The following is a 13,726-nucleotide window of genomic DNA, read 5'->3' as shown; positions in this document are numbered from 1 at the left end:
ACCCCCTTTAAAGTATAAGTTCAGGAAAACAATTGTCAAAATTCCTAATTACTATCCACCAAACATTTTATCAAAAATCTGGATTATACTTTCTGCCATGGGGTTCTTTCCCAGCAAGTCTTTCTTCTCTAGCAGTAACCCTTCTGTACAGTGGTGTTTTACTTGCAAGTTAACATCCACGCACAGCAAGTGCTTTTATAAACAGGTTAAACTACTGGAAGGAAGATGTTTGAAGGGACAGAAAACAATTTGCAGAAGAAAATTAAAACACGATTTTTTTGGTTGTTTCATCACTGTAGATCTACATTTTGAAAAGTCTTTCTTTTCTTTGTCCTTAGTAACCTGAATGTTTATTAGCCAATTAATCTCTTATAAATAGCTTTTTGTTAGATGATGATGAATCAATGATTTTATGCTTTGCACAAGTTTTTGTTCAAGTTTTCTCCTCCACCTGAAATGCTCTTCTCCCCAGGATCACTCTTCAGAACTGGAAAAATTTTACTCCTTCTTTCAAGTATATCTCATTCTTTTCCTACTATAGGAGTCTTCCTGAGCTGGTCTAGTTGATGCTTTTCAATACTCCCATAATACTTTTTTGCAATAGAAGCAGTGTTGAATGGGCTTTGAAATTAGAGGATATACACTTCAGTTTTTGGCTATGTCCTGTACTAATTGTGTGCTCTTGTATAAGCTACTGTGTATTTTGAGTCTCATTCTCTTTATCAGCACGTTGAGTACATAAAGAACTTCTAAGTTTAAGTAGTAAAAATAGGCATATAAAACAATTTGCCTCAGATGTTATAATAGTATAAAACATGTTTCCTGAATGAATATGAGTATAGTACATTTTTAGAAGACTTTAAGGGAAAAAAAAAGACTTCAATCAAGCAAATGATTTTGTTGTAGATTTTAGATGTCATGTGAGGATAGTAGGCATGAAGCTTGGATTCATAGAGACTTTGTCGTGGTGGCCTTTCAATTATGCCAAATGCCAATCTAATCCAATGAGATGAACTGTTCAAGTGATATCATAATTAGAAACATGACATTTGATAAACAGATATCTCATAATTATATTAAAGTAGCATGGCAAGACAAGGCTCTGGAGCCAGGCTATCTAGGTTCAAATCTCAGCTCTGTCACGTTATAGCTTCTTGATTTGGGCAAATTTTTAACTCTCTTTAACAGTTTTCTTTTTTAAAGAATGGGGGCAATTCACTCATAGGTGGGAATTGAACAATGAGAACACTTGAACACACGAAGGGGAACATCACACACCCACCGGGGCCTGTCGTGGGGTGGAGGGGAGGGGGGAGGGATAGCATTCGGAGATATACCTAATGTAAATGACGAGTTAATGGGTGCAGCACACCAACATGGCACATGTATACATATGTAACAAACCTGCACGTTGTGCACATGTACCCTGTAACTTAAAGTATAAAAAAAAAGAATGGGGGCAATTATAGAAATAGTAACATAAATTAAATAAGAAAATTTTTTTTGTGAGGATTGAGTTAAGTATTTATAATACTGTCTGGAATAAAGTAAACACTGAGCATTTGTTTGCAATTATTGCTGTATGCCATGCACTTTGCTAAGTGCAGGGCATTCAGTGATGAGTATTGGGAAAGATAGGCACAGAGCAAGTAAGCAAACATGAATACGTAATTCCAAATTGTGATCATGCAAAGGAGGAAAAAAACAAGGTGTTTTGAACCACATAACAAGAAGGACTAGAATAAGGGTAAGAAATAAAGAATAAAAAGTAAGCATTGTTACCATGGGAAAATATTTTGTAATGTTGTAGTATATTTTTAAAAATAAAGATGTAATTGACACTTGATAAATTATGTAATTTATTTTTATTTTTTTAAACAACTTTCCATAATTTTCTTGTTTTTTTGCATATGTGAATACATGTAGCTGCACAGAAAAGGAATAAACACTTTGTTTATTTTTGTAGCCTATCAACTAAGGGTGTGCCAACCTCCACCACCTGTGCCCAATGCTGAAATTTTGACGGAAGATGATGAATTTGAAATAGGTAAAGCTGTTAAATTATTTTCAAGGAAAACATACTGCTGGCAGAACTATTTGCTTAAAAATAAGCCAAAATACAGAATAGTAATAGCCTGTCTTGAGACCCTCATTCCCTGTGTTGATAGAGATTATTTAGAATTTTTAAGAAGGGAGAAGGAGTGAAAAGAGGAAAGGGATTATTAGAGAAGAAAAATTAATTTTGTTTTTCTGGAATGTACAATAAGAAAACGTGTTAAAATTTGAAGCCGTTAACTGTATTCTGATGGTTCTTTCCAAACTATTATTTTGCTGCCTTCTGACACTATAGTTCTAACCTTTGTTCTTTGAATTCAGGCCTATGCCTGACTTGGCAGAATGAATGGTTTGTAGGCCATATTAGAAGACATATTTCATTTCCATATCTTGGAAAATGCTTAGTTGATTCTACTCAATTTAATCATAAAGTTGCTTTAAAACTGAGTTGGAAATTCAACCCAAATAATGCCACACAGTTTGAAAAAAAATTATATACGAAGACATCTTAATGTTGCTGTAATAAACTTTTATTATTCATTATTATTATTATATTGATTTTGGTTGAGACACACAAAGAAACTATCAGTGACCGATGTAACTTCAATAAATAGAAAGCCTTCTAACTACTTGTTGTATTTTTATTGAATATCTCACCTATATCAACTAAATTATTTCCTTATGACTATTGCTTATATCCAGCCAGCATGCACCAGTACAGAGGGAATGGCAGTTCACTTTTGCCTTCAGTCCTGATGGGTCAATGAGTATTATATACTGGTTTTTCAATATTTTGAATATAACTCCTACTTATACCTAATAACATTTTTATACTGATTGAAAATAACTAAAGGAGAAAATATTCTCCTACAATTGAAATATTTGTTTATTTTTATCATCACCTTGTTGCTTATATGAAACCTCCCCTCTTTTGTTTAATAGGTGATATTATTAGGTATCAGTGTCTTCCAGGATTTACTTTAGTTGGTAATGCAATTCTGACGTGCAGATTAGGAGAACGACTGCAGATGGATGGAGCACCTCCAGTTTGTCAAGGTATTCAATGGTTCCTATGATTATTTATTTCTTAAATATTTGCTTTATGTTTAACTTAATATAGGTATGATTGAGAAAAATCTATATAAATATGAAATGTTTAACTGGAAACAATGCTATACATTTTATAACTCATATGTGCTATTTCATTTAGAAATAGTCCACTGTTTATCAGATTTAACTTTAAACATCTTTGATTCTTTCAAGGGTAAATTTTTCTGGTTTAGCATGAAGTCCGTTCAACTTACTTCAATTATTTTGCTCTTAGGGATGGGAATGGAGGTGGAGAGAAAGGGAAATCACTTTAAATAAAGGTTTCAATGTTAATTGCTTTTACTTAGATAGAGCTTCTTATCTAACCACTAGACTCATTAAACTTTGTTGAGTACCTGTTACACAATGAGGATCTAAGGAAAAAACAAACAAGCAGAGTAACAAAAAATAAATTTTAAGTGGCCCTCGCTGTGGAAGCATCATGGAAAAGGGATATGGCAGTCATACAGGGGATAGCTGTACAGTGTTTAGGGAAAGAGACCAGGAAGCTGTAGATTCATATAATTTTTAACCGGTTGTGGGGTAGGGAAAGCTTGATGGAAGCATTGTTTCCTGAGTCATGAAACACAATTCCAAATGACAATGAGTCTTATTCTGGTAGAACAGAGCTAGAGAGAGGGTGGTCTAAGTGGCAGATATATATGCAAAGATAGAGAAGTGAAAAACAACAGGGCATGGACTTCAAGGATTCGCTATGTTACAAGAGCAAGGCAAAGATAGACCTTGAATGATGTGCTAAGCTGTGATGTTCAAAAAACATTTATTGTTCATTTGTGTAGCCCCTAGGCCCAGAACAGTGCCTAACACACAATTATCATAAATGTTGATTAAGTTGAATACAATTGAGTTGTATTTTATTATTCTTTCTAGCTTTTTTGGATTAATTCCTTCTTTAGGTTTCGTTTGGAAATCTGTTTCTTGTGCAGTATCTTAGCTGCTATAACAAGTCTAAAGTAACTTCTGATTATTATGGGGTTTTAAGCATACTATAAAATTGAAAGCCTTTCAAGAAGATAAAAAGATTGCAGGAGGCTTTGATGGTAGCAAAAAGAAAAGCAGGAAAGTGGGTGTGGGGGTATAAATTGGAGCCAATGTGAGAATTTCTCATGGTCTTACTGCTATTAGGACATCTTGAAGTTGGTTGAGAATTCTGAAGTCTATCACTTACATATTCCAGACATTTAGATGTCATTCATTCAGCTTTTTCCTTCATGTAAGGCTACTCTCTAGACCTTTAGGATTATGTCGGTTTCATGTTCAGATATTTAGATATGCAAATAGAGAAGACAGAGGCTCAACCTTTGAGGGGTTATACATGGGAAAAAAAGTTGAGCAGACACAGGATATGTCAATGAGCCAATTACATAACAGCATTTCTGTCTTGACTCCAATAAAAACTATATTGTGAGCTCTTGGAGAGCAAGCTTCTTGTTTTTATATCTGAATCCCAATTCAAAAAATTTTTTACGAATTAAAGTAAATATAACATTCAGATAAGCTAGATATTTTACAGTTTTTTGTCTCTCAGACTTTCAATGTCTTATTCCCCAAATCAGAATTTCCTGTAGATTAGTAATTGAACTTATTCTGTCTGCTGTGGAGAATACAGAAAACATAGAAAATTTTTGTCTCCTGATAACACTTCAGATACTAGCTAATAAAGTTAATAAATCATCCTTTAGAATGAGTTTATGTAGAGTTTCTATATTAATTATTTCACCAGGCATTTAAGCCAAAAAACTAACTTTACATTTTTGTTTAATTGAGTTTATTACACAAGCTTGCTAAGACAGTCATTTGTTTGGAATCGGCTAGAATTAACCTACATCGTTTTTAGTCCATTTAAAAAATTTTTTGACTTTTCCTAAAAAAGTAGTAGTATCATTTTTCTTCTCTCTTCTTCTCTAGATGCTCTGTAGCTCTATGTGTCTCACTTAAAATGTGGAAAATAATTCCAGATATGGTTTTCTGTAAAGAGTTTGTTGTAAATGAAATTTAATGGATGCTTACATTTTCTGGTTTAAAAACATTGGCTGCAACTGAATCTAGGAGATTTTGAGCACTTTAAACTTTCTGGCCATCAGTTTTCTCATATGTACAATGGGGATAAAAAGTATACACAGTTTTTAAAGTTGTGATAACGGAGATAATGTACCAATGGTGTTTAACAGTGCCTAACATAAAGTTACAATCAACAAATATTTACTGTTATTCTTGGTGGCTGTCAGGCTTCTTGCTATATGTTAGATAATGTGAGAATAGATTAATTTGTGTATTGTAGTAAAGTATATTGGATCATACCAGTCATTTCAATATGTCGTAGCCACATACTTACTTTTTTTTGGCCTTTGACTCATATATTCCATATCATTTCCAATCTTCAGGTTTATCTATTTCTTTTTTATGTATTTTTAAATTTTTTGAAAATCAATGTCAGAGTTCTCTTTTTAGGTGGAGAAAGAATGACCTGATACCATTTATGCAATATTTTTAATCTCAAAATTATATCCATGAAGGAAAATCCCAGGTTGAAGTAGAAGAAACTGAAATAATATCCAAAAAAAGTAGAAAACAGCTCTTAGCTTTAGCTATACTATATTTTAAACTCTATTATATAGTCAGTTTTCAAAAAGCCATGTGTTAGTTCTGGCCGGTTTTCAAGTTTTCAAGAAGTCTTTTCAAGTTATTAACATGTTTATAGAGAAATCATATGCTGCCATAATCCACTATGTTAGTTACTCTTTTCTACTCCTATACTTGTTGGAGACTTTATAACTCAAAAATATTTAATTGTCTTTGTACCCTGAACACTATGAATATATAAGTTCTTCATCTATTTATTATATTCCAGCAACTACATTAGTAGTTTTCAATCCCAACTCATTCAAATAAACATTGAAAAACAGGAATTCTTCTTAAAGTGCTGCTCTAATTATTTTGAGAAACAATGCTATTTAACTCCAAAATGAAAGCTAAGGTATAGTAGATGAATTAGGAAATTGCATGGGATATATTTCTAATTAACCAAATCATCAAAATTATCTAGTTCACCCATTCATTCAGTTGCCTAAATGTTCTCAGTAAGAACACCCAAAAGATAGTCCAGTCTAAGTTTAAAACTGGTTAGCAATTATGTTCGTAAGACATTTTACTATGGCCATTATACTATTCTGACAAATAGAAAGTTCTTCCTTATATTGAAGCAAATCCTGTTTGGTGCATATTGGTTTACTTCTGCACAATGGACCATACTAAATAATTCCAATACTCTTTCCACATCACAGAACTTCAAAAAAATTTTGTAAGAGATTAAAATGGCATAATTTGAGTAAAAAGGGATTGATCAACTTAGTCATATTCTTCATTCTAAATCCAAATTTAAGTAGATGTTCATAATTTTGGTCTGATACAGAATGCAATTGATGCCAACAACTAAAATTTGCTATATGTTGCAGGCTGTTAGACCATAATTATGTTTTTTGTCAATGTATAACACATTTTATGTGTTTTTATAGTGTGTTGATATATATACATATATTATATTAAAGCAGAGGTATATTATTAAATAAAAAGAGTTTGTGCTTTGGGCTACATTTATGGGCTGGAGATAGTGTAGAGCTGAAAGGCAACTGGTGACTCAGAACTGTGTTAAATCCTCATGGTAAACATATACCTGATATCAGAAATGATTTTACTTGAAATGAATACTTTGAGAGAGGACAGTTTTCTATCTGACCCCACACACCTGAGTGAGTAGAAGGTTTAAGAGAGAAGAGAGTGAGTTAAAAAGTAAGGAAAGAAAGAGGTAAAGCAAGGACATAGATAAGACAGGCAGAGGTGGGAGAACAAAAGATTAGGAGAGGTTGGGAAAAATGTGAAGAAAGAGGAGGCATTAAATGGCTTATATTTTATTTATGTATTTATTTATGTCCAGAAAGTGGTGCATCTTCCATGTAATAAAAAATAAATCAATACTATAAATTTTTAGGTCATTCCTCCAGCTTTTGAATCATAAGTTTAATACAACTTGTCTCTTCTAACAAATAATTCAACGTATCATCCTTATAGCTATTGAACATGAAAGCAGAATACTCAGTATCTAAAATACAGTTTTCACTGAGGCTCTAAAAGACTGGCATTATTTAATGACATTTTTCTTTGACAGTGCTCTGTCCTGCCAATGAATTACGGCTAGATTCTACTGGAGTCATATTGAGCCCTGGATATCCTGACAGTTACCCAAATCTTCAAATGTGTGCATGGAGCATTTCAGTGGAAAAGGGTTATAATATCACCATGTTTGTAGAATTCTTCCAGACAGAAAAGGAATTTGATGTTCTTCAGGTGTATGATGGTAACCAAGGGTTATATTTATTGGATATTCATCAATTAAGTACAAATGTTCTAATTATACATGTAAACTTTGAGTATAAACAGCTGCTTATGTGAGTTTATCTTACAGATATTTTTAGAAGTACCAACATTAAATTCACTCCTATACCATATGAAAATTATAGTTAGCTCCACTATTATTTTACAAATTATACATCATTTAGCTATAGAATTAAAATGCTTAAAACAAACATTTTATGTTTTCAATTATTGTTAATGAGGTAGATTGGTGGTGAAGCAATTTAACCATATTTAATACTATTCTAAAGATATAAAATACTAAAGACAAATGAGAATATAATTAGCTTTATCTAAATTGTTTTATTTTCTTCCCAAAGGACCAAATATTCAAAGTCCAGTGCTTATTTCCCTCAGTGGGGATTATTCATCTGCTTTTAATATAACAAGCAATGGTCATGAAGTATTTCTTCAGTGGTCAGCAGATCATGGCAATAACAAAAAAGGCTTCCGGATAAGATATATAGGTATGTAAAACTTATAACTTCAGGACAGATCTCACTATCATCTTCGGTATGATTATGATTAAGGAGCAGAGACACTATTCAGTTAGACATGAATTCAAATCACAGCTCCTCCATTGATGGTTCCTGGACAATTTATGTAACCTCTCTATTTCCTATTGTAATGATAATAATTCTACATCCCTCATATGATTTTGTAAAATATCCTAAAAAAGCATTTAGGATATTTATGACTTATATGTCAGTTATAAATTATCCTATATGTCCTAAAAGCATTTTAGGATATTTATGACTAAAAAATCCTAAAAAAGCATTTAGGATATTTATGACTTATATGTCAGTTATAAATTAAACTGTGATTTTTAATACTTTAAAAAATAGATTTGTTTTCTTTGAACTGACAAAAAATATTAATAGTGTTGCTCAGCTGTGTGTTATCTGACCTATTTAAGAACTCCTTTAAATGACAAGTTAAAACAAAGGATAAACATACAGAGGTCAAAATCTTTGTTTTAATTTTTATCCATCTATTTGTGATACTTGCTAAAATATCTTAAATGTCGAAAGAGAGAGTAACACATCATTTACAAACCTTCCGTTTTTAAAAACGGAAGCGTTTTGTCGCTACTGCTTTTCCTTGCGTGATGCTTAGAAAGATGTAGGCTGGAAATTCTTGTTAATAGCAAGATGACATAGATTTTTCTATTATGTCTTCCTGTTTATAGGGTCTACTGATACTGAACCAATAATTTTCTTGTTGAGTAAATGTACATAAATAGTCCTCTATTATGTGAAGGTTATGTTCCTTTTCTTTACTGCCCTTCTAAATCATGTCAGAGACCATTCTAAATCACGTCAGAGACCATTCTAAATCATGTCAGAGGCCATGGATATGTGCTCAATAGCAGAATCCCTCAGAATCAGCCAGCTGTCTCTTTCTATACAGTGTTCACACCATGCTTCCCAAATCATGTGTCATTGGTAATCAATTCAACCGAAAATTCCTTTTATAAATGTTTTATAAACTCTGACACTATGATTCCGGGCATAGACAGATACATTTTGAATTTCAGTTCTAAAAAGTATACTCTTGAATTTTACTCATTTATACAAATTTACAACTACATATAAAATGTATGAATAGAATAATTCTGTTTAATTCCCTTGATTTTAAAACTCTGAGATGATAGTTTGATTTTAACTAATTAATAATTTGTATTTTACATATTAGAATAACTTGTGACTGACAGCATATTACTACTATGTACATAATTGTATCCTACAATGTTTCTATTAAATCAAAAATAATTTATTATGCAATCAAAGTAGACGTGTTTTAAAAAACTGAAACATGGCCAGGCGCGGTGGCTCACACCTGTAATCCCAGCACTTTGGGAGGCTGAGGCGAGTGGATTGCCTGAGGTCAGGAGTTCGAGACCAGCCTAGCCAACATAGTGACACCCCCTCTCTACTAAAAATACAAAAACTTAGCTGGGCATGGTGGTGGGCACCTGTAATCCTACCTACTCGGGAGGCTGGGGCAGGAGAATCACTTGAACCCGGGAGGTGGGCGTTGCAATGAGCCAAGGTAGCGCCATTGGACTCCAGCCTGGGCAACAAGAGCGAAACTTCTTCTCAAAAAAAACCAAAAAACTGAACTATATGATACACCCAGTCATCTTGAAGAATTTTCATACTTGAGCTTATGTTTCTATAATATAAACAATGTAAATATCTTTTTATTAAAGTGTTGCCCAAATAGGGCATTTAAAAGTCAGCACATTAAATTCATGATACATGATAACATAAAAGGAAACTATTCAAATTAAACAATTGTAAGTATTAGATTGACTGTATTATAGACCAATCCTTGTTCTTATTATTTATGACAAAGTTGGATATTAATATAATGAAAATACCACTTTTAGCCCTCAAGAACAGCTTGACATATTAAATATGTATTTTTGCCTTTAGAAATGACAGGTTATGACATATATATCCTAAGTCCAATTTGTTTCTTACTATTTACCCCCAAAGCCCCATTTTTCTCAGATGAATTCATTAAAGTTTCAGAAGGTAAATGGGACCTGCCATGCTGAATATTCTCAAAAGTACATATGAAAAAGCTATTTGACAGTATCTGTTGGCATTTCAAACATCAGGAGATGAAAAAACTTTTTTATTTTATTGGCAATTTGTATCATAATATGTAAACGCTCTTGACAGAATGGGCACACTTTAATAGACTGGGAAAGAGGATTATGGAATGTGGGGGCTTATTTTAGACATCAACCAAAATGAAATGTATGACCTAACATGGTAGAGGTGTCTGGATATAACTTCAAAGTGACATGTAAACGACATGCTCTAAAATATTGCTACCAAGGCTGTGGCATATAGGTCCCTCAAATGACAGGAAATGCGGTTTCCAAAATTCAGTTAGATATTTGTTGGGCTTCTGAACCTCCAGGGTGTTAAGAAAATACATTTCAATTCAGAAGACATTTTCGGTGACAATATAAATTGGAAGAAAGCTCAGAGTTAGTTATGTCTCCCAAAAGTTGTGTCAGTAGATCATTTTCAAAAGAGGAAAGAGCACAATATGTTGTTCATATGAAGTAAAATTTACATAGATGACCACTGACCTACTTTTAAGCACTAGTCGCTGTATAGGTGTTTATCACTTTGGGTAATAACTTCTGATTCATTAATTAAACAGCATTTTTTTTTTCTTTTGAAAAGCTTTCTACTGTAGTACACCAGAATCCCCACCTCATGGATATATTATCAGTCAGACAGGTGGGCAGCTTAACAGTGTGGTCCGTTGGGCCTGTGATCGAGGATTCCGACTTGTTGGAAAAAGCAGTGCTGTGTGCAGAAAGTCTTCCTATGGGTATCATGCATGGGATGCGCCAGTCCCTGCCTGTCAAGGTGAAGTATATTATGCCAAAATGAACAAAAACATGAATGTGAGATTAGCACCATTTAACGTTTTTATTTGGATCACTAACTTTTCTGAGAATGGAAATATTCGGAAGCATATTGTGAACTCTTTTCATAAAAACAAGGCATAACATTGCAGAATGATAAATTCCAGGGGAAAGAAACATACTGTTTTATAATTATTCATTATTGTTATGCAACTTATATGCCTTGACTTTTTCCCCTTGTATACATACTTTATTCATACATCCTCCATTCCAGTTACTTTGTTTTAAGACAATTATTGAAAGAGAGGAAGACTGAGTTAGTATGAAGTCTGCAGAGAGGTAATAGAGAATAAGAATGGGCAAGTACACTGAAGACTGAGTTTCACTCTTAGCATCCAAAATTTGCACTCACAGCAACAAATTTAAGAGAAAAATGTAACCCACCACCTGGATATTTTTTTTCTTCAGTGGTACAGATAACACAACAGAGATATCAAAGATATGTTTTTTATTTTTCTTTGTATTTTGTCAAAAGTCGAGGCACTGAGCATTATATCATGCTGCAAAAAGAATAACAAGCTTGTTAATCAAAAAATTGCATGTTTTAGAGTTTTTGATTAAGACTTGTTTTTATGGGAGGCTGAGGCCGGAGAATGACTTGAACCCGGGAGGCGGAGGTTGCAGTGAGCTGAGATTGCAACACTGCACTCCAGCTTGGGCAACAATAACGAAACTCCATCTCAAAAAACAAAACAAAACAAAACAAAACAAAAAGACTTGTTTTAAATAGTAGTTGAGTCTCTTACGTAAGTGTAGTCATAGTCATAAAGACAAGCTCAACATCAGCTACGCAGAAAAGCTAATGTCATTGGACTTTGAAAATTTTAAAATACTTAATTCATTATATTATTTTATCAAGATGAAAATTAATTTTGTATTTTGTTTAACTCTACTCAGCATGTAAAGATGCAGATAGCAACTTTGAATTCTCACATGAAAAAATGCAGGATACTCTAGGTTAATAAACAAGAAGTCTTACTTATTACCTATTTTTTGGTGGGCATTTATAAAAAACAAAATGTAAGATAGGTAATTAAAATTTAAAATCAACCAATAATAAGTTAAAATTAGCTAAAGAATAGGTATTACCAGGCACTTGAAATGGCTTCTTTTACCTATTAGAGTGCAATTTATAATTCATAAAAGGATAGCTTTCAAAGGCATATGTAAACAAATGCAAAATGAAAGAATTATTGTTTCTTGTTGTATTGATGCAAGGAAACATTAATCACTTATTAGGATTCTGGGAAGCACCATTACCTTAATGGGTTATCAACACTGAAGGCATTTACTTCATGCAGAATAGATACATTTTAATAAAGTATTAAAACAGCTGCTTTCCTTCGACCAATGAATAGCAGGAGTATTTACAGTTCTTAGTATTAACTGATTTCCCAGAATTAATTTGGGAAAGAATCTTTGATGTCAAATTTCATAATAGAATTAAAAGATATAAAATAAGCTTATAATATATATATTTTAAATAACCATTAACATGCTCTGAATTTTAATTGTTTTTAATTTTAAACTTTTGTATTTTAGTTACATAATGATTGCTTTTATTTATATTTATATACACACATACACATACACACTCCTATATGGTATACATATATAATCCTTAAGAAACATTTTGTGAGAATAATTGACTATCATGTAAAATAAAAATACCGCATGCTTTCTGAAATTTTGAAATTGCTTTGTAGAATTAGTGCTACAATTTCATTGAATATATTCCATGTAATTTACATATGGAGTCATTTTTTCAATGTCCTTAATTTAAAATTGTTTTAAATTCAAATAAGAAAGTTGAAATATAGTTTAAAAATGAGATATTTGGTGAAGTAAAATGATAAAATATATGTAAATCATGTAGCCATTTCCAAAAATTGATCTTTTCTAATTGTTAAAAAAGATTAAGAAAAAATGCTTACAGGATATGACCTCTATTTGGACATTACTAATTGAAATGAAATGTTTGTATGTCATTTGGAAGAGCTATTTGCATAATGCACCTTTTATTTCAACTTGTTTTGCATTTTTCAGTCATTTTTCTTTCTCTTACCTCTTAGGTCTTCTTATACATCCTGACATACATTTACTTGAGCTATAAAGTTACACAACATGAGGATAAACATAGAAAATTAGTCAGCTATATCTATTTGGGTTTGGTCAGGTGTTTTATTTATTTTTGTTCTCATCACATAACTATTGATCCCCCCCTCAAAAATTGAACAATCCTCATGAATATAATTAAATATTATGTAGTGTTACGTGGAAACTCACTTTGTATTCCGTCTCACTTTTAATTTGTGATTTCCTGAGAGTTGTATAGACAAGCCTCTTTTACAACCACTCAATTATGATGACTTTTCTTCTGAACTGGATTTATTTTCTTTCTTTTCTTCTTTTTAAAAAAATTAGCGGAGAAGTTAAATTGTTAACTATCCATAGGCACAGGAATTGTCCCATTATTCTGGTACGTTGTCTCTTTTTAGTTCTAAAATAGAACCACATTTTACTAAACATATATGTGGAATCTATACTATTTAACTACATCTCTTTTTACTTTGACCTAGATTCAATCTATACTACACCAACAATGAATAGTTAATTTTTAAAAATCAGTAAATACATGATCTTTGGGAGGGAGATGGCATATAACAACTTGAAATTCCCAAAAGTTCTAAGTGAAAA

The 13,726-nt window shown here is 32.3% G+C and overlaps 1 protein-coding gene across 10 annotated transcripts in view; it reads left to right on the top strand.

The window, feature by feature from the left end:
- CSMD3 (CUB and Sushi multiple domains 3) overlaps nt 1-13,726 on the top strand; it is a 1,214,012-nt gene that overhangs the window by 1,114,992 nt on the left and 85,294 nt on the right. For all 10 annotated transcript variants that reach the window (NM_001363185.1, XM_017013010.2, NM_052900.3 and 7 more), the window contains 5 exons: nt 1,967-2,047; nt 2,998-3,111; nt 7,331-7,519; nt 7,896-8,042; nt 10,782-10,970. In NM_001363185.1, the coding sequence (NP_001350114.1) occupies nt 1,967-2,047; nt 2,998-3,111; nt 7,331-7,519; nt 7,896-8,042; nt 10,782-10,970 (720 nt within the window). The remainder of the gene's footprint in view (nt 1-1,966; nt 2,048-2,997; nt 3,112-7,330; nt 7,520-7,895; nt 8,043-10,781; nt 10,971-13,726) is intronic.

The sequence above is a fragment of the Homo sapiens genome, chromosome 8 (genome assembly GCF_000001405.40).
Source record: "Homo sapiens chromosome 8, GRCh38.p14 Primary Assembly".
NCBI classification, from domain to species: domain Eukaryota; kingdom Metazoa; phylum Chordata; class Mammalia; order Primates; family Hominidae; genus Homo; species Homo sapiens.
The sequence above is the reverse complement of the archived record's forward strand: the minus strand, read 5'-3'. Positions and strand labels throughout refer to the sequence as shown.